This window comes from Homo sapiens, chromosome 3 (assembly GCF_000001405.40).
Source record: "Homo sapiens chromosome 3, GRCh38.p14 Primary Assembly".
Lineage (NCBI taxonomy): Eukaryota > Metazoa > Chordata > Mammalia > Primates > Hominidae > Homo > Homo sapiens.
This window is the reverse complement of record NC_000003.12, coordinates 197075954-197096537: the sequence shown is the minus strand read 5'-3', so window position 1 is coordinate 197096537 and position 20584 is coordinate 197075954. Positions and strand designations below refer to the sequence as shown.

The window sequence follows — 20584 nt, the reverse complement described above, 5'->3', positions numbered from 1 at the left end:
AGAAAAATAGTTTAATCTACACCTCACATCTGGAGAGGTTTAGGAGATTTTCGGTGGCCCATTGGACTTACCCATGAGGTTGGCTTCCATGCAGGGTAATGCCTTGGTTTCAGGAGTCAGAGCCTGAGGGCTGGTGAGGAAAGCACATATGGGAATGCTCAGAGCCCAGTCAGGGAAGTGGATGGCTGTTCAAATTCAGATTGACCAAATTAATATATATGTTAGGTTATTGTTATTCATAATTTTCACTGTTGAGAAGAGAGTTACAAATATGGAAGGGAAGAAAACTTAAACATGAATCCTGTAATACTGGATTAGAACTGAAGAAGTTGGTTTGAAGGGATGGTTTTCCATTGATACAGATGTAAACATAAATATCTACGTCAGTGTGTATGTATCTGTGTGTATGTTATTTTCCCTGGCTCTGCCCACTGAGAGGGCCTGAGCCTAGTGCCACCCCAAGAGCAGTGAGCACCTAGCATCCAGATCTTGCCTTGCAAATATTATTTCCCACTGAAATTACTAAGGCTTTTTTGACAAACGGCAGGTTCCCCAGGAGTCAGGCAAAGAAAATGCTAGATTGTTCTATAATATCCTTTGCCAGAAAACAAGCAAGTACTCAAGGAATGTTGGAGACATGTCAAATGGACCCAGAATCTAACTTCAAGGGACTCTCACTGGCCAAATCAGGAGCAATCTCAGCATTCAGTTGGTGATAATAATGGCAGATTATAACCCACTGAATAAAGTAGGAAATAATGAGTTTTTACTCATATAAATAAATGAATTAATTGAAAGTTTGATGAGAATGGAGAATTGTACACAGTTTCAGTAATTTATTTGCAAAAGGGAAAAGTAACTTTACAGTAGAGAAACCTGGCAGACACAACTTTTATCAAGCGATTAAAGTTAATAACATTGGTGATGGGACAAATCAAAATTGTGTACCACCTGATACAGATGTATTGGGTAGAACATAACATTTGTGATATTCCTGCCAAAGTTGGATAACTTCAATCTAATTGTGTGGGAACTTCAGGCAAACCCAAATTGAGAGAGATTCTACAAAACAATTGACTTGTAATCTCCAACAGTATTAAGGTCACAAAGTCAAGGAAACACCGAGAAACTGCTGTGACTCAAAGATCTAAAAAGACGTGACAACTAAATGCAACAAATGACTTTGAAATGGATCCTTTTGCTGTAAAGAACATTACTGGTGACTCTTCATAGGGATCCGAGCATTAGATGGTAGTAATGTATTAATGTTACTTTTGATGGTTTTGTAGTTATATAGGAAAATATCTGTAGGAAATACACACTGAAGTATTCAGGGATGATGAGACATCAAGAAGGCAAATTGCTGTCAAATGGTTCAGGAAAAACAGTTTGTGATTGCTCTAGTCTTTAAAAAAAATTAGTAAGAAGAAACAAAAGATTTGAAAGTGACAGGTATAGAAGGTAGGTAAAGAATATTCAACATGCATGTAATAGGAGTCTCCTAGGAAGAAATCCAAAACAATGCTAGAAAATGCATAGACAAGAAATCTTTTCTAAAATTAAAAAAGTTATTTCAAACTACACTTCAAAATGCCATAATAAAATGATTAGGATTTAAAGGAAAAAAATATCTGGAATTCCACTTCCCTCCCCCAGCAGAAAAAGAAAGAAAATTCCGTTGTTCTCAGTTTATAGAAGACAATGGAGTGAACATACTCAATAAAGGAAGAAGCTGAATCAAACAGACTTTCACATATAAAAACTGGAATCAAATATATCAACAAATAGAGTGATAGTGTTCGTATAAACACTTCCTGGGGTGAGAGAACAACCTGCAGACATCCAAAATGATAGGAGGAGAGATACTGACATAAGGACTGGTGTTAGCATTAATGAAGAAGATTATAAGGAAGAGAGTATATAACATGAAAAAGCTATATGCTCTGACAATTTTGATAAGGTACAATTATTAGAAAATGGGGACAGAATTTGAGGATAATATGAAAACAGAATAAGCCTCCTAATTGCTTTAAAGTTTTTAACTGGATATAAAAGGATAGTATTTCCAATCCAATCTGGGAAGATTGCTTGTAGGAGGAGACCAAAAGACAAAAGCCAAACAAAAGTTTGCCATTAGAACAAAAGGACAAGCGTGTCTGAATTGTTACACACACACTTAAAAGAACAAACCATATAGTGAGACTGTGCTCCAGTTACTGTTGCTTCATGAGATACTACCCCAAGCTTAATAGGTTAAAACAGCCTTTTAATAGGTTTTGTAGGTTAGGAATTCAGGCAGGATTCTGGCCAGATGGTTCTTGTTTTCCTTCTGGCATCAACTGAGGTCACTTAGTGGGACTTAGGTGGCAAATGAGCTGCTTTGGAGGGCCCAGTTTGGCTTTGCTCTCCTTGTCTTATGTGTTGGTGGTACTGGCTAGAAGTTTGGGCTCAGAGCACCATCATGTGACCTCTGCAGTATGGTGGTTTTAGAACAGTCTTGTTACATGGTATCTGGCTTCCACTGAACAAGCATTACAGAAGAACCAGGCAAAAGCTTCATGGCCTCTTCTAATCTGACCTTGAAAGTCATACGGGATTACTTTCACATTTTTTGGCATACAAATGACCCAAAGCACTAGCCCAGATTCCAGGAGAGGGGAATTAGATTCCACCTGTCGATGGGGAAATTGCAAGGTCACAGTGTACAAGAGCATGTGGGATGCAGGCATCTTTGGAAAATATAATCTGCCACTGGTTTATTTATGTTAAAAGCTTGAATAAATAAGACAGGATGGTAAGAACAGAACTGAGAACAATTTCAGTTATATCAAAAGTTAATTCATAAAAGCAGACAATTTTCAGGCTTGCTAATGAAGCAGAATTTAACCCTGTGCAGTACATAAGAGTCATACCTACCACAAAGAAGTAAAGGTTAAAAATAAAGGACTGCATATTGCTGTAAAAAAAAAAAAAAGCGTGGATGACATCTTTCTATATTGTGCAGTGATCTTCTGGATATACTTACTATTAAGTGAAAAAAGCAAAGCAGGGAAATGTGTATTCTACTGTTTAAGAAAGAAGAGAAATGTTGGCTGGGCACAGTGGGTAATCCCAGCACTTTGGGAGGCCGAGGCAGGCGGATTACGAGGTCAAGAGATTGAGACCATCCTGGCCAACATGGTGAAACCCCGTCTCTATTAAAAATGCAAAAATTAGCTGGGCATGTTAGCGCATGTCTATAGTCCCAGCTCCTTGGGAGGCTGAAGCAGGAGAATCGCTTGAAGCCAGAAGGCGGAGGTTGCAGTGAGCCAAGATCGCGCCACTGCACTCCAGCCTGGTGACAGAGTGAAACTCCGTCTGAAAAAACAAAAAGAAAAGAAATGTATTATGCTTGTGATGTTTGTGTGTATATATACACACATATATACAGATATAAAAATATGGAATAAATGTAAATGTATTTGCGTGTTTGTGGGTATCTTTATATTGTTTAAATGTTGACATATAAGGATCAGGACAGAATAGGATGAGAAAAAGGGATAGAAGCTGGACTTTTAAATACCTGTGTTTTATAGATTTGACTGTGGAGTTATTTTACCTACTTATAAAATCAATGAAAAATTTTAAAGGCAAATTGAAGTTGAAAATAAAGTACAAATGAATCTAAATGTGTATCCACTTGGCAACAGTAATACTCAGGAAGGAACTATTCCAAGTGATTTTAAAATGGTAATTGGCCAGGTACAGTGGCTCACACTTGTGATCCCAGAGCTGTGAGAGGCCAAAGCGAGAGGACTGCTTGAGGCCAGGAGTTCAAGAACAGCCTGGGCAACACAGCAAGATGCCATCTCTACCAAAAATAATTTTTTAAAAATTAGCCAAGCATGTTGGTGCACACGATGGTCTCACCTACTCGGAAGGCTGAGGCAGGATTGCTTGAGCCCAGGAGCTCAAGCCTGCAGTGAACTATGCTTGTGCCACTGTAGTCCAGCCTGGGCAACAGGGCAGGACCCTGTCTCTAAAAATAAAAAAAGAAAACAATAATTCAACCATACATCTCTAGCTATAGCCTAAGGATTAAAAGCTACAGGAAATAGTTAACTGTTTACAGTAATCATATCATGGTAGTAGTGTTGGTGGTCTAATTCACTGTTGTAATATTGGATAAAACAAGTAAGTCATTATGCCGGTACTTTTATTCTGCTATCTCCACTATCTTGAGAACCAGAATTACTCATATCCAAGAAAGCAGATACAACGCTAAAATAGGAGAGCTTAAGTAAAAACCCAGTGGTCCTAATTTTTCATTAGAAAAACCAGTATAAACTCATGATATATTTTTATGATCTCCATTCATCAGTCTATAGTTTAGCTGTTTCTACACATACCAAAGACAACTTGCCATGGATTGATATTTATTTAATTATGATGGATACATTCTACTATTAAGGCTATTTATGTTTTTATTTTAAGTGTTTTGTTGTAATTTTGAAAGGATAGTAAAATATTTTATTATTAATGTGGAATTTTAAATGTTTCTAAGCTTTTTGATGAATTGTTGCTTCAGTTGAGCTTATTATCCGTAAAACAAAGTTGATGATTATGGTGAAAGAAAGAGTAACTCAACAATAATCATGCTTACTCTTACTCTGTCATCTTAACCTACACAAAATCCCAGAGAAGTTATTTGCTGTAAGACAGGCTTTATAAGAAACTCAGATTTGAAATGACCTAGTTGTCTGCAATTTGTTATAAATAGAGGGGAAAAAAGATATGTGTTTATAACCATGTAACTGCAATATTTTTGAAAAGGTGCTTAAACTTTTGTCATTAATAGATTTAGTAGTTTTTAATATGTAGCTTTAAATTGTCCATTTTCAAAATCATATTTTTGTATAAAAAATATTTTAAATAAAAATATTCACAAATATTACTTCAGATTGCTTTTGTGTCTTGAATTTTGATAATTTATAAATTATAAAATCAGTTAAAATAAATTTTGTTTATCACTTGTTTAAGGCATATTTTTCCCTTTAATGTTGACCCTGCACAAGTTCCATATTGAAGTATGTAAAATGAACTGATTGTCTCAAGGGGAAAAAGTCAATAATCAAAGCATCTAGTGTATTAATTATTATTATAGGTTTCTTCCTTAATATAAAAATTAGAATAAATCCTGATTTTTAAAATTTACACTTAAATTCAACAGTAATATAAGATTACTGCTGTCTGATGCATGGAAATTGTCATTTAATTGACTAAATGTGGTATAAACTTTAAAAGAGCATGTAGAAAAATTCTAACTCAGCCAATTCTAATTTATGGTACATTTAGGTTATTAATAATTTTTTTTTGAAATTTATGTGTTGGGCAAAATCTTTCGCATATTACTATTTTAAGGTTCTAACCACATTTAATCAATTATAGGACAGTTTACATATTTAATACGTTATCTTCAAATAACTTATTTTTTGAAAATATATCAATTTATTTCTCTTTTTCTTCCATCAGAATACAGTCGTTTTGAAGCTAAAATACATGATTTACGGGAGCAGATGATGAATAGTAGTATTAGTTCAGGGTCAGGTTCTCTTCGAACTAGCCAGAAGCGATCCCTCTATGTCAGGTAAATTTTTTTACTTCTAATTATGGCAAATCTTAATTAGTTATGCATGTAAATTATTTTGTATTTTTCACTATAACTTACTTAGTTTTACCGTAAGAAAATATATTGCCAATCAGTGTTGTTTTTTATTATTGATTCTCTCTGACAGTGTGCCTTTCAAGAATTGGAATATTATTGTATTAATAATTTTATTAATGAAAGTTATGTAATCCTTGAATAATGATGATATAATAAAGGAAGAAATTTCTGTGGACCAGAAATTGTTTTCAGATTGATGTGTTAGTAGTGACTACAAGCTTGATGATATCATGTCTAACACTTAGATTTAACCTCTGTCCTTTTCTAATATATTTTCCATTCAAGTAACATTTAATTACCTGGCAATTTCCATAGTAGCAAAGGAGGCATATGTAAATAATAATTTAAAATGTGAATAGCCTCGGTAAATAATGCATATTTGGAAAATTTCTACATGCATTTTTTAAACACTTGGGAGAAGGCAAATATGTTATTTTCCTATAATATATAAAGGTTAAGTGGCAACATAGGTCTAATAAATAGGTGATATTAGTATATAAACTGGGGTGTTTCTTTTTTTTTTTTTCATTTCGTTGGCTTATAAGACTTAAAACAGAAATCCGAATGTATTTGTATTCTGTATACTTTTAGTAGAACTTTAACTGATAACTTTATTATACTGTTACTGTAACATTAGCACTGTAAGTAATCTGAACCATTCTTTATAAATTATCATCTCAGTCGTCCTGATTCTGTTGGGGGACCTGTTCCTAATACGTTTCATTTATCCTTCTGATGAGAGAGATATGTTACATATATAAACATGTATCCTATACACGTGTATCTATACACACAAACAGGTACTCTGTACTTGTTTACATATGATATGACTTACTGTCTTCACATAATCTTACTCTGATACATCATGAAAGCAAACCTTTCTCACTTTCTTCTTTCTGTTCCTTTTGTCTTTTGCTGTACTTGGTACTTATAACCCTACCAGTGATGTGGGAATCTTAAATGCATCAGATTTTTTTTTCCCTTCGCCAATTCTAGCAGTACTCATTAAACTCTTGTGTTCCAAAGTCATTAAAAGTATTTTATATATACAAATATATCGAAGAAGGAAGAACATGGATTTTTCTACTCTCTTTTTTACACTTTCTTTTTTTTTGCTTATCTACATTTCCTAATTTTAGTATAATTAATAGGTGTTGCCTTTTATTTGTACTTGATTAAATATTTACAAAGGCATAAAAATCAGAACATAATAGGTTATATTTATTTTCGGTACATTTAGTGAATCTTCACTTGTTATTTTTAGAGAAGTAATGCTCTATTTTCTTTCTGTTTTTTTTTTTTTTTTAAAGACAGGGTCTCACTTTGTCACCCAGGCTGAAGTGCAGTGGCGCGATCTCAGCTCACTGTAGCCTCAACCTCCCGGGTTCAAGGGATCCTTCCGCCTCAGCCCCCCAAGTAGCTGGGACTGTAGGCACATGCCACCATGCCTGGCTAATTTTTGTGTTTTTAGTAGAGATGGGGTTTCACCATGTTTGCCAGGCTGGTCTCGATCTCCTGACTTCATGGGCCTCACCCACCTTGGCCTCCCAAGTGCTGGCATTACAGGCATGAGCCACTGTGCCCAGCTTCTATTTTTTAAAACCATATATTATCTAAAGACTTATAATGAAAAACAACTGTCACCGGCACCAGCCCCTAGTTTCATTCTCCAGAAACAAGCATCCTCCATTTTCCTAGCAAACTTCCTTCACCTCCTTATTTCTAAATATGAAGCCTTCGCCTCTATATTTCTAAATAACATGCATATACTGCTATCTTCTACTTTACCAGTTTTGCGCATTAGTCTTACAACCATGGTAGATGAGAACGTTTCTGTGTAGAACCAAACCACTCATTCAGTCTCATCACCATCACCCAAACATAGCCTATCTCTGTTAATAAAACTAATAGCATTTACAGTCATGTGACTATGCAATAGCTGTCATGACTCAGTCGAGTGGTACCCTATGAGCTGCCTCCTTTCTTCTGCAGCCCTTCATTTTTCCTGGACTTAATAATTGTCTTGCATTTTATTTGATTTTTCATATTCTTACTACTAAATATCTTTCTGTATCTTCCAGTAACCACTGTAGAGTTTTTCACATGATGAAAACATATGGTCACACATACGGTCTGATAGTTCAGGTTTTTTCTATCTTTATGCTCCAGTCTAGACTAGTTCCTCTGTAAACGTGCTGTATAGCTCTCAGCTGGGACTTCCCTTTTGCCATTATTCTATTTCCTTTGGCTGTCTACTATGTCACATGTTTCCTAGATGCCACATTTTCTTCTTTCTCAATTAATCTTCCTAGAGCACATCCTCCAGTAAATTCCTGCGAAAAGGTGTGTGGGAGGCACCCTTTGAGGCTTAGCATGTCTGAAATGACTTTGTTTTGCCTTCTCCCCAGTAGAGAATTTGGAATGTGGGGGAGGGAATGATACCCTGTTTTATTTTGCAGGAGCTCCCTCATCTTCCATTTCTTTTGTGGACATGATCTGGTGTGTCTCTGAGATTTTCTTCTGCTTTTTTGTATTCTTTGCTTTCTCTGTATTCCTTTTTTCTAGCTATCCTATTTTCTTGGAGGTTTTTTCTTTAGTGTTTTATATAAGGCATTCTTTAAATATCCAGTGTTCCTTTCATTGTTTTCCACTCTTAGGAATAGAGAAATGAAGATAATGGATTTAACTAGAAGACAGTGGGGTAAAGGGGGGGATAAATTGGCTCTTAAATTTTCTCTCCTGTCCCACGTCATTCTGTTCTTTTCTATAATTAAATATCCTTAGAGAAGAATCCCTGTCTCCTGCCAATAGTATAAACCAAGTTGCTAGAATTTTATTTTCATCCATTTCAGTCCAACCACCTTCCCCTTCTCCACCAAGTTTCAGAGTATACAGCTCCTCAAATTCAATTTCTCTGGAGACTAAACCACTGGTCTTCTGTGGGTTTGGGGACTGGGAAAAGGAACTTTGGTGGGGTTGGTCTAAGTGCTACATACAGTGTTTCTACCTTCTGTTTTTAGTACAGTAACTTATCCCTGCCTACCTTGGTACTACTGTACACTTCTAATTTATGACCATCTCCAGGATTCTTATGGAATAAAACTTGTTTCTATAACCCTCTCTGCTGCCACTCCATTTATAGCTTCTTTCATTCTGCTAAATTTAATTAGCATCATCCAGAAATGTGTTAAAATCTCTCTTCCCCTGTTGTCTTCTCTCTTTTGTATTTTTCGTATTTTATTGTCATTTTAATGAGTCAGGGTGGAGAAGAAATAGACACAGTGTGCTATAGTTAATCAGAAGCCTCATGGTTCTTTTTGAGATGGGGTCTTGCCCTGTTGGCTAAGCTTGTCTTGGACTCCTGGGCTCAAGGGATCCTCACACCTTAACATCCCAAGTAGCTGGGACTACAGGCACACACCACCACCACCACCACACCTGAGTCTTGTGGGGTTTTTTTTAGTCAATGTATTTCTAATTTCAAAAGCCAAAAAAAAAAAAGGCTGCAAAAAACTACCTACAGAATACCTCTTTATAAAGCTCTGAAACAAGCAAAAACATACATTATATCTTTTAGTCACTCACATATTATATGATAAAACCAAACCAACCAAAAAAGAATGAGTCAAAGAAATAAACATTAAGAATGATAGTTACATTCTAATAGTGGTTAACTCTTGATCCAAGGGAATCAGGATCAGAGGGAATATACGCAGGTGAATGTGAATTACTGATGAAGGTTTTGTGTGTAGTCTTGGGTTGGGTAGTAGGTGAACAGATGTTCATTGCACTCTTACGATTAATAACTCACATGTATTCCATGGGTTTCTTTTTTTATGAATCAAATATATTAAAAGAGAATGTTAAAATGCTAACGTAAGTAGAGATTGTGGGTGATTTCCTTTGTTGTTCAATAATACTGTTACATTTTGTGATTCAAAAGATGAATTTTTATAATAATGTAAGAAGTTAGTATTTTCCTTTTCTGAATGTCTTGACATTTGTACTACCTCTTAAGGTACTTTATTTTCTATTTTATATTATGCTTATTTGTGCCCTCATCTTCTCTATGTTTGAATGTATGTTTAAGTGAGCCCTCCTGCTTAACGATCCCCCCTGCTTCCCTAGCACCTTTAGCCCCACGAAAAGACTTGAAAGAACTCATTTGAAAAACCATTAACTACTAGTTTATTTATTTAGCCATCAAGTAATTCCACCCCTCTTGAGTTTTACTTGAAGAGCTAGGTTCTTAAATGTTGGGTAGTGTGAAAAAGATTACGATTTTCATCCTAATTTCCAGTTGCCAAATTAGAACAAAAGAATGAATAAATTATATTATAAATGTAATTGCTGTGATCCTTTCTTACACTCTTGAGAGAGCTTATTTGGACTTAAGAATTTGATTTATTTTAATGTTGTACATTAATTAATCAAGTGGTAGCACACAATATTTTCTTTTTATCAAATTTTAAAATATTCTTAACACTTTGCAATTACCGTATTAAATTATTACTTTCTCCAAAATATTTGGCAGCTGTTAAAGTCATCTGTAATTAGTGTCCATCATTGTTACTGACTCTGAAAACTCTATCAACTCTAGTATTGTGAACAAATGGAAGGAATAATTAATGGACAGAATAGTCACTATGTTGATCTAGTCGTACAGTCCACAACTAATAAATCAAATATATCAGGGAATTTGTTTTCCTACATGTATCTAATCAAAGTAAAGAGAAGAATGTATCTTAATACTTTTTGTTTATTAATTTCAAACTCTCTGGATTTGTCTATTTTAGAATTCAATATAACTTACCATTGGATTACAATCCAAGAGCGTTTTTAAAATTTGTCTTGTGATATTGAAAGAAACAAATAATACAATACAGTATTTTCATAGCAAGTTGATTTTGCTATTTCTTTTTTGTCTTATCTTGTATGCAGTGCAGAATTGAACTGGGCATTATTTGGCCTACTATGATATATTTAATTACCCAAATTACATATACTTTCAGAACCCTATGATATGTTGATTAATATTATAACAAGTGATTATGGACTTTTTTTCTTCTGACTCTAGAGCCCTTTTTGATTATGACAAGACTAAAGACAGTGGGCTTCCCAGTCAGGGACTGAACTTCAAATTTGGAGATATCCTCCATGTTATTAATGCTTCTGATGATGAATGGTGGCAAGCCAGGCAGGTTACACCAGATGGTGAGAGCGATGAGGTCGGAGTGATTCCCAGTAAACGCAGGTATGCCTGTTTCTTACCACTTGAATGTGAGGCAACATAAATAATTGATGTTCTTTTAAATTTTTTTTAATTTGTGACAACATGGATGGACCTGGAGTGCATTATTCTAATTGAAAAAAGCCAGACACAGAAAGACAAAAATCGTATGATCACATTTTTATGTGAAATCTAAAGTAGTCGAAGTCATACAGAGAAGAATGGTGGTTACCAGGGGTTAGGAGGATGGGGAAATGAGATACAAAGTTTCCGTGACACAAGATGAGTGAGTTCTGCACCTCCAACATGTAAGCATGGCAACTACAGGTAATAGTACTGTACTTGAAATTTGTTAAGAGGGTCGGTCCTAAGTGTTCTTACCCCCCAAAAAAAGGCAACCAGGTGAGGTAATGGATATGTTAATTAGGTTGACTGTAGTAATTATTTCACAGTATGTATATATATAATATATATATATAAAATCATTAAGTTGTACAACTTAAATATATACAATTAGGCTGGGCACGGTGGCTCATTCCTGTAATCCCAGCACTTTTGGGAGGCTGAGGCGGGTGGATCACTTGAGGTCAGGAGTTCAAGACGAGCCTGGCCAACGTGGTGAAAGCCTGTCTCTACTAAAAATACAAAAATTACCTGGGCATGGAGGCACACGCCTGTAGTCCCAGCTGCTCGGGAGGCTTAGGCAGGAGAATTGCTTGAACTCAGGAGGCCGAAATTGCAGTGACCTGAGTTTGCACCACTGCACTCCAGCCTGGGAGACAGAGCAAAACTCTGTCTAAATATCTATATCTATATCTATATCTATCTATATATATAAAATATACACATAAAAAAATTAAAAATAATCACCAGAACTGAAAAAATAAATTTATTTTACTAAAATGATTTTATGCTCAGTTTTTTATATTGTGTTTCACAGCCATTTGATTTTATTCAAATGGAATTGTAACCAGTGACATAACTAGAAAATATGGGCCAGGTGCAGTGGCTCACACCTGTAATCCCAGCACTTTAGGAGGCCGAGGTGGGCGGATCACGAGGTCAGGAGTTTGAGACCAGCCTGGCCAGTATGGTGAAACCCCGTCTCTACTAAAAATACAAACATTAGCTGGGTGTGGTGGCGGGCGCCTGTAATCGCAGCTACTTGGGAGGCTGAGGCAGGAGAATTGCTTGAACCCAGGAGGTGGAGGTTGCAGTGAGCTGAAATTGCACCACTGCACTCCAGCCTCGGCGACAGAGCAAGACTCTGACTCAAAAAAAAAAAAACAACAAAAAGTGATGCCTCCAAGCAGAAATTGATCTAAAGCTACTAGTTACTGAAAACAAAGTAAGTATATATTAAATCAGTGTGCCATTTAGCTATACCAGTGAAGAGAAAACTGAAAGTGTCTGTGGTTGGTGTAGGTAAGTAAGAGGACTTAAATTTTGTATTTTTGGTGGCATGAATTTCTTCCTTCATGCCAAAATGTTTGGAAATATCTGGTAATACGCTTCACTTCTCTTTTTCCTTGCTTAAATTACATGTATTGGTGCAGTTCACTGGTCTTTTCTCTTTGCTTTTAATGATTATATATAGGTAGATAGGTAGGTAGGTAGATTGATTTTTTTAAGAGACAAGGTCTTGCTCTGTCGCCCACGCTGGAGTGCAGTGACATGATCATAGCCCACTGAACCTCAGACTCCTGGGCTCAAGCTATCCCCCCACCTCAGCTAGTAGCTGGGACTCCAGGCGCGTGTCACTGCACCCGGCTAAGTTTTTTGTTTTTGTTTTTGTTTTTGTTTTTGTTTGTGGAGATGGGTTCTAGCTATGTTGCCCAGGCAAGTCTTAAACTCTTGGCTTCAAGCGATTTTCTCACCCCAGCCTCCCACAGCTCTGGGATGACAGCTGTGAGCCACTGCAGCCAGCCCTAATGATTCATTTTAGTGATTCATGGGTGTATACTTAGCACATAGCAAAAGTAGTTAAGGACAGGCCCTCTTTGCAAAGGATGGTCCCAGCTTAGAGGACCTCTTCTAAGGCCTGTGAAGTGCTGTTGAGTGTCTCTGCTTTTGTGGGGAAGGTGTTAAAATGTCATTTCAGAATTCCCCTGAGATAGCTTATTTATGAGATCTGCTTCATCCAAATCATTGTCTGGAAGTTCTTCTTTAAGAGCTTTTTAAAGTAGTAGTAGTAAGATAGCCAGCAAAAATAGTTAATGAGATCATAAAGAAATGTTTATTATAACTAGTTAATTCATTTTAAGTCGATTATGCTGTAATAAACATCTTTTTCTTATTAGTTGAATTTATACCTATTTCGTAACTATTTCTAGACCTTTATTTATTTACCTGTTTGTAGAAGTTGAAAAGTAATATTATTAAATTATAATCAAGATTTATAATTATGATTTTCGGGCTTATAACTGCTGTTGGCTGTATCCATATATTTAGCATGATCCAACTATTTGGCTAGATCTTTCAGTTGATGACAAATCCTCTTTTAGCAATGCAGCAATCAGCATAACTTTTTTCCAGAAATAGAACATAGTCTGCTTTAAATTCGGAAATGCTTCCTCTATGCCTTGTTGAGTCAGTAGAAACCTTACATCTTAAATATCAAGGTCAGAGCTCCTAAAAATTGTCTTGGTTCTTGGAGTCTCATACCTTACAAAGGCTTTCTGTGCCTACACCCAATAATAAACACTGTTGGCTTCACTGGAGAGATTTTTTTTTCATTTTGTACAAAAATTCTATAAGATTGTGTTTTAAAGCAAGCAATAATGTAAGAAAGATATCTTGAGACCTCTGCCAATTTCCACATTCATGAGTAGCATTGCAGAATATAATCTTACTCCCGTAAAATACAGTAAGAAACCACAACTAATTATGCCATTTCGTTCTTGAATGTATTCAAAACTTACCTTTTCTTAAATAGAACTATCTCTTTCTTAGACCTCTTCTAAAATAACATAGGAATTGTAATTCCTACAATTCTTGGCTTTCAGGAATAATATTTACAAATATAGACAATTTAAGTTGCTGAATTATGTACTAAACAAAATAATGATTAGAAAACAAAGTTGAGTTGTAAATGCTCACCCACTAAATGCTAGTTTTGTGGTGCTGTTGATAAGTACCTAGGCAAGATTATAAATTATTCAGGTCATGGAGCCTCAGAATTGTTCTTGAATCGTAAAAATCATGAGTTTTAATTTTTTTTTTTGTTTGGGGTGGGGGACGGAGTCTTGCTCTTTCACCCAGGATAGAGTGCAGTGGCATGATCTTGGTTCACTGCAACCTCCACTTCCTGGATTCAAGCGATTCTCCTGCCTCAGCCTCCCAAGTAGCTGGGATTACAGGCACCCGCCACTGCGCCCAGCTAATTTTTATATTTTTAGTAGAGACAGGGTTTCACCATGTTGGCCAGACTGGTCTTGAACTCCTGACCTTGTGATCCACCCGCCTCGGCCTCCCAAAGTGCTGGGATTACAGGCGTGAGCCACTGCGCCAAGACTTAAATTTAAAATTTAAATTCATGAATGCTAAGGTCCTGCTGTACCCATAGTAAAACTAAATAGATAATAAGGAAAAAATAAAATTCATTTATTCATAGTCTTGTTTTGGTAGGCTTTTCTGTTATATGCTAACATAATTGCTATGTCGAAATTGGAGAATTTATGAAAGCTTAATTTACATGACATTTTGCAAGATTTACATTAGTGTTACAATCTACATAAAAACTTGTTTCATTGTAGTTTTATTTGCTTGCTTATTTTGAGTAGGTAAAGTTCAGAATTTAAAAGATGTGAAGGCTTTACAGGCTGTCTCTCACAACACCCATTTCACCTCCATAGGGGTAAAGATTAACAGTTCTTATGTATCCTTCCAAAAATACTTTAAAACTCTTACTTCAATAACTGTAACTGGTTATTTATATATTTACACACACACACACATATATCATTAAAATTAGGCTTAATTTTTAAATATTCCACCTTTTTGTTAAAAGTTTCAGAGCTATAGAAAAGTAAGTACAAAAACGGCAATATACAGTGAACGTCCACATATCCTTCTCCCACTTTCACCAGTTTTTAACATTTTGCCACATTTGCTTTCTCTAGCTTAATTTTTAGCATATGTGCTTCATGCTAAGCTAATACTTAAAAACAAACAAAACTTGGAAAACTGTTAAACTCAGAAATGGTGCCTCATACTTTCATATAATTTTGTAACTAAATATACATATAAAAATATACACATATATACTGTGTGTTGATAACTTCATAGCATCAGGTTTTGTTTCATAATAAAATGAGCCCTTTATTTCATTTTTCAGCAATTCTAATTTGGGGATGCAAACCTAGATGACTCTTAAAGGTTTTAGAGTATAAAAATGCCCATTATAAAGATAACAATTCTGGTTATTTCTAGTAAGACCCCAGATATGTTTGGTTTACTTAAAAAATAACATTCTATACTTTGACAGAGTTGAGAAGAAAGAACGAGCCCGATTAAAAACAGTGAAATTCAATTCTAAAACGAGAGATAAAGGGGTGAGTATTTGAAATCTCTACATTTTTGTAATTCCTGTTTGAGCTACATTGTTAAAATGAAAAGGATTTTGCTATCAGAATTATTCATGATCAGTTCTTGCCATGGTGCTTTACAATGGTAGATACTTAAGCATTTGTTAAATTCAAGCACCCATTTCACAGACCCTTCCAAATTATCAAAACTATCATTTGATATATTATTAGCAACATACTTTTGGGTCAAGCTTATTTTTATAAATGAAATGTATTTGACCTTCATTCGATTTCCAATTAGAAATTTGTGTTACTAGGCCGGGCATGGTGGCTCACGCCTGTAATCCCAGCACTTTGGGAGGCCAAGTCAGGCAGATCACCTGAGGTTAGGAGTTAGAGACCGGCCTGGCCAACATGGCGAAACCCCGTCTCTACCAAAAATATAAAAGTTAGCCAGGCATGGTGGCGGGCATTTGTAATCCCAGCTACTCGGGAGGCTGAGGCACAAGAATCACTTGAACCTGGTAGGCGGAGGTTGCATTGAGCCCAGATCGCACCTCTGTGCTCCAGACTGGGCAACAGAGCGAGACCCAATCTCTTAAAAAAAAAAAAAAAAAAAAAAAGGTAAAAAATTAGCCAGGCGTGATGGCTTGCACCTGTAGTCCCAGCTGCTCCAGTGGCTAAAGTGAAAGGATTGCTTAAGCCCAGGAGGTCCAGGCAGTAGTGAGCCATGATCATGCCACTGCTCTCCAGCCTGGGTGACAGAGTGAGACCCTGTCTCAAAAAAAAAAAAAAAAAAAAAAAAAAAAAGGAAATATATCAATTCTTTCATCATATATTTTAGAAGTGTATTTATTTTTCCTTCACTTTAAGTCCTTCTGCTTGCATCTAAATACTTGGGCTGTCGATAGATGAGAAAGATGGTACAGGCTTCATCCCGTATTGGTGGATGTAATTCTTAATAATCCTGAACTCACTGCAGTGGAATATTCTAGCAGTAAGCCTGGAGAACAAACTGAATACATGTTATGTTAAATACCATTTATAGCAATGTTTTATGTTTGGGGTTTTTTTTAATACTAAACAAAATTTTTATAAGTCTTCTGATAATATTTGAAATGAATGTGGAATGTTAACTCAGCAAATAAATTTACTCTGTACATCTCTGGTATCACTAAGCACTCAGACTTAAAGCTTTAAAATTTAAAAGATGAGAAATATCTTTGGTTCAAGAAGTTAAATCTGAGAAAATTATGTGTTACATTCCATTTTTTAGAAATGATAAATTCCTTTAAAATTGTAGCTTTCAGAAAAATTCCAAATTATATAGTGTGATCTGAAGCAATATTAAAATAGAAATTTGTATTAGAGGAAAAATCCCAGGTAAATGCTCAGGATTTGAAAAATGTGAATTTTTTAATGCTTGTTTTATGTATATCTTTAAAAATGATTTAGTACAATATACCATCAATAAATTGAAAAAGAGGTTGCATGTTGTAACTTTCCTTTCATACTGTAAGAAGTTAACTGAATTAACGACGTGTTTAAATCTTAGTCTTGTTTGTTGACTGTAACCAACTTTATACAGAGTCACTGTGTTCTAACACAGCACCAAAACTATGCATGATACTGAGTGGGGTGAAAATACGCTTGCCATTGATCAGAACTGCATTTCTTTCTATAGTACCATTTCCTACTTCTCCTCCTTTCCTTACATAGTGATTATGGACTTTATTTTTACTACAGACTTACAACATTTTAGTTTCTCATTAACATGTCTAACATTCATTTGGCTATTTTGAAATACATGTGGAAATTATGTATTTAGATATTTAATATATGTATCATGAATTTATGATATTTTATCAATTCTTACACTGTCTCTCTTGCGATATAGCATTAATGACAGTAAGTATTAAATGTAGTACTTCTGATTGAAAATACAGAGAAACTGGAGGTAGCAAGTCTTCAGTTTTGTGTTTTCCCTACACATTTTTGTCTTGGTTGCTTGTGCTATTTTTTTCACTTTTAATAAGTTCTTCACCTGGAGGATATTAAATGTGATACAACTAATACTTTCTTAACTAACAAGCATTTCTCTCTGTCCTATATTATGATATCTTTATGATATCTCATTTTGGCTAACTGCAAAGATAATAAGAATCAGACATTTTAAACTTCATGTTTCTTTTGGTTGTTTGCTGTGAAACTGACTCTGACCACTATAGATGCAGTAAGAGGGATGAATAAACTTTTATAAAAAACACATCAGTTGTATCAGATATAAAAATTATTGCTAAATTCAAAACCATTGATTCTTATGAACGAAAAGATTTAGTTTTTCCCTAAATTAGATTACCATAATTTTTTTCACTAAAACACTTTCTCGTCTATCTCCTTTCTAAAATTTGGATTTGAACAAAGATTTTTATTCAAATAATGCTACTTGACAGTTTATAAAATAGTTATAAGCCCAGATTTCTCCATAATACTTTTTCTGTCCATTGAATTTTTAACTTCTACTTAGAGTTCTCTTTTATCTAGTTCCTCAGAGCCTTCAAACTTTAAGATTGAAATCAAGACAGTCTGCTTGGCTAATGAACTGTGAACTTATTAATCCTGAATTAATTATATGAAAAGGTAAAAATGAAAGTTTAACCTTGTTTTTATAAAGATCTTTATCAAAATAAGTCTTCTCAAGTCATAGAATTTGAGCTAAAAGTCACTTTAATCTACTTCACTTTTTTTTTTTTTTAATTTAAAGAAAAGGTCTCACTCTATCACCCAGGTTGGAATGCAATGGTATGATCATAGCTAATCATTGCAGCCTCAAACTCCTGGGTTCAAGTGATTCTCCTGCCTCAGCCTCCCAAGTAGCTGAGACTACAGTCGCACACCACTGCTCCCAGCTAATTTTTTTTTTTTTTTTTTTGAGATGGGGTTTCGCCATGTTGCCTAGGCTGATTTTGAACTCCTGGCCTCAAGCGATCCTCCTGCCTCAGCCTACCAAAGGGCTGGGGTTACAGATGTGAGCCACCACACCTGGCTGCTTCACCTTAATTACCTGGCATCACATGCTTAAAATAAGGGCATGCCAAAAACACACTGTTCTTGTCAATATACTTCAAAATAATGAATAATACAGCATCTTAAGATGTGTATAAACTCATAAAAATCAGAACAAAAAAATCTATTCTTTATATTTTTCCCTTCCCCCTCCAAAAAATAATAATTCTTAGTGTCACTGGTAGGTAAGCCCGTTTCCTTCAAAACATGAATGCCTATGACAGAGAAATGACAAAAGAAGCTATTTCTGTTTAATAGCCTCATCGTTCTTGTGCTACATGCTCTTAAATCTATGAATGCACAAATGAGACATTCAAGGAAAAACTTGTTTCCAACATGTGCAATAAGAGACATCAAATCAACTGCTCAACTCCACGTTACAATTATGTATAAACTGTTAGAATCTTAATTGCCTTGTGGCTTTGGTGGACACCAAACTTTTTATTCCCTATGAAGGACGTGGTGCCAATGATTGGATGTGGTTCTACATTATTTATGTGTACTTTTTTTTAATAAGTAGAGTAGAACTTAAGAATAAATAAGTCAGTACTGATAGCATTCACGTTGGTCAGGAGACTTCAGTACTGAAGCATTCACGTTGGTCAGGAGACTTCTGACTCTTCTTGCTTGGCTAAGAGATGGCATTGATAAGTCTCTTGCTGGACTCTGTGTGCTTGATGGACCTTTTAGTTTTCTTCCCATTTTCTGGCTCATAAGCATTTAGTTACCTTTTATCCTCTTCCAAGAATATGTATATGTGTATATATAAATATATATATATTTGTTTTTTAAATATTCAGCATTAGCAACTTTCTCATAATCATTTTGGTTTACTTTTTAAATAATGACTTTTCTGTTAGCTCATCGTAGCCACAAAAAAAGAGATAAAGGAATAACTGTGGTCAGGCCAAAATAAAATGAAGATAATGAATAAAATGTAATTGAGCAGCAAAGTAACATTAAATAACTTTTGCTGTAGAGCACTTAATACTTGAAAATTTTTCTGGAAAAACATGGATTAGTATAAACAAATGTTAGCTTGGTTTGTACTGTAGTAGTAACTGATTTGCCTTTTTTTGTCAAGTAGCATTTTTATTTTTAGGTATAAATGAACTATGCTGTCTGAAATTCTTAAGTATTTTCAGTTGCAAAATGTTAGAATTTATACAAAAGTAGAAATTCACTTTATATGAGATTAAAGTAAAAATCATATACAAACTGCACACTGTGGTCATAGGAGTCAGCTTCCACAGAGCTGCTAGGCTGGGCCTTTGTACACACAGACAGTAGACATCCCTTTGTTTTGCCCCTCCTTCTCTTCTTCAGCAGTCATTCAATGACAAGCGTAAAAAGAACCTCTTTTCCCGAAAATTCCCCTTCTACAAGAACAAGGACCAGAGTGAGCAGGAAACAAGTGATGCTGACCGTAAGTATGTGGATCCAGTGGTCAACTGAAAATAAAATGGAGAGGGACCTACTGCCCTGCAGTTGGTTGTTACCATGGAGACAGTTTCAAGAGCTGCAGCAGGTTGCTAATTGTCTTCAAGGGCAACTTAACAGTTATAAATTAATTTGTATGCCGATCTTAACTTTTTCTGGCACCTTAGGAATTCTTAATTTAAAGCAAACATTATTTTTCAGTTATATGTTTATAACTTGAACATATAAATATGTATAAATGCAGTTATTTGAAGGAAAGATTTTTATGAAAAACACATTCATACATTCAAAGAATATTTTAGAGGAAGAACATGAATACATGAGAAGCTACCTGTTGATTTCTAGGTATAACATGGCGAGTCTGATAACTGGATTCTCTGGAATCATTACATTTTACCCTATTTCTTCATTATATGTAGACAATCTGGATTTTACTTTTAAAATAGCAAGAAATGGTCTAAAATTTTGCTTCTGTACCTGAATCAGCCTTCATGCTAGAACTTTCATTCTTTTGGTAGATTACAGTTAGCAGCTAGCTCATTTCAAAGTTCTAGAAATATGTAAAAATGCTCTGTAAGATATATGTACCTGTAATGGTCTTGGAACTGTCTCTTACTG

At 35.2% G+C, this 20584-nt stretch overlaps 1 protein-coding gene across 45 annotated transcripts in view, besides 1 other annotated feature; it reads left to right on the top strand.

The window, feature by feature from the left end:
* The window catches only part of DLG1 (discs large MAGUK scaffold protein 1), a 256762-nt gene that overhangs the window by 202784 nt on the left and 33394 nt on the right, over positions 1 to 20584 (top strand). For 19 of the 45 annotated variants that reach the window (NR_158764.1, NR_158765.1, NR_158766.1 and 16 more), the window contains 4 exons: positions 5512 to 5626; positions 10782 to 10958; positions 15421 to 15487; positions 19853 to 19952. Coding sequence is in view for 39 of the 45 variants with exons in the window: in XM_017005803.2 (XP_016861292.1) it covers positions 5512 to 5626; positions 10782 to 10958; positions 15421 to 15487; positions 19853 to 19952 (459 nt within the window). In the remaining 6 variants the exon portion in view is untranslated. Of the gene's footprint in view, positions 1 to 5511; positions 5631 to 10781; positions 10959 to 15420; positions 15488 to 18004; positions 18096 to 19852; positions 19953 to 20584 lie in introns of those variants that run through there. The other 26 variants (NM_001366203.1, NM_001290983.2, NM_001366204.1 and 23 more) reach the window with 4 other exon arrangements.
* Positions 19024 to 19224: a silencer, noted in NCBI's record as "peak4992 fragment used in MPRA reporter construct". NCBI's record gives its function as "represses an SCP1 promoter by STARR-seq MPRAs in K562 erythroleukemia cells {active_cell/tissue: K562}" and the evidence as "EXISTENCE:reporter gene assay evidence [ECO:0000049][PMID:32103011]".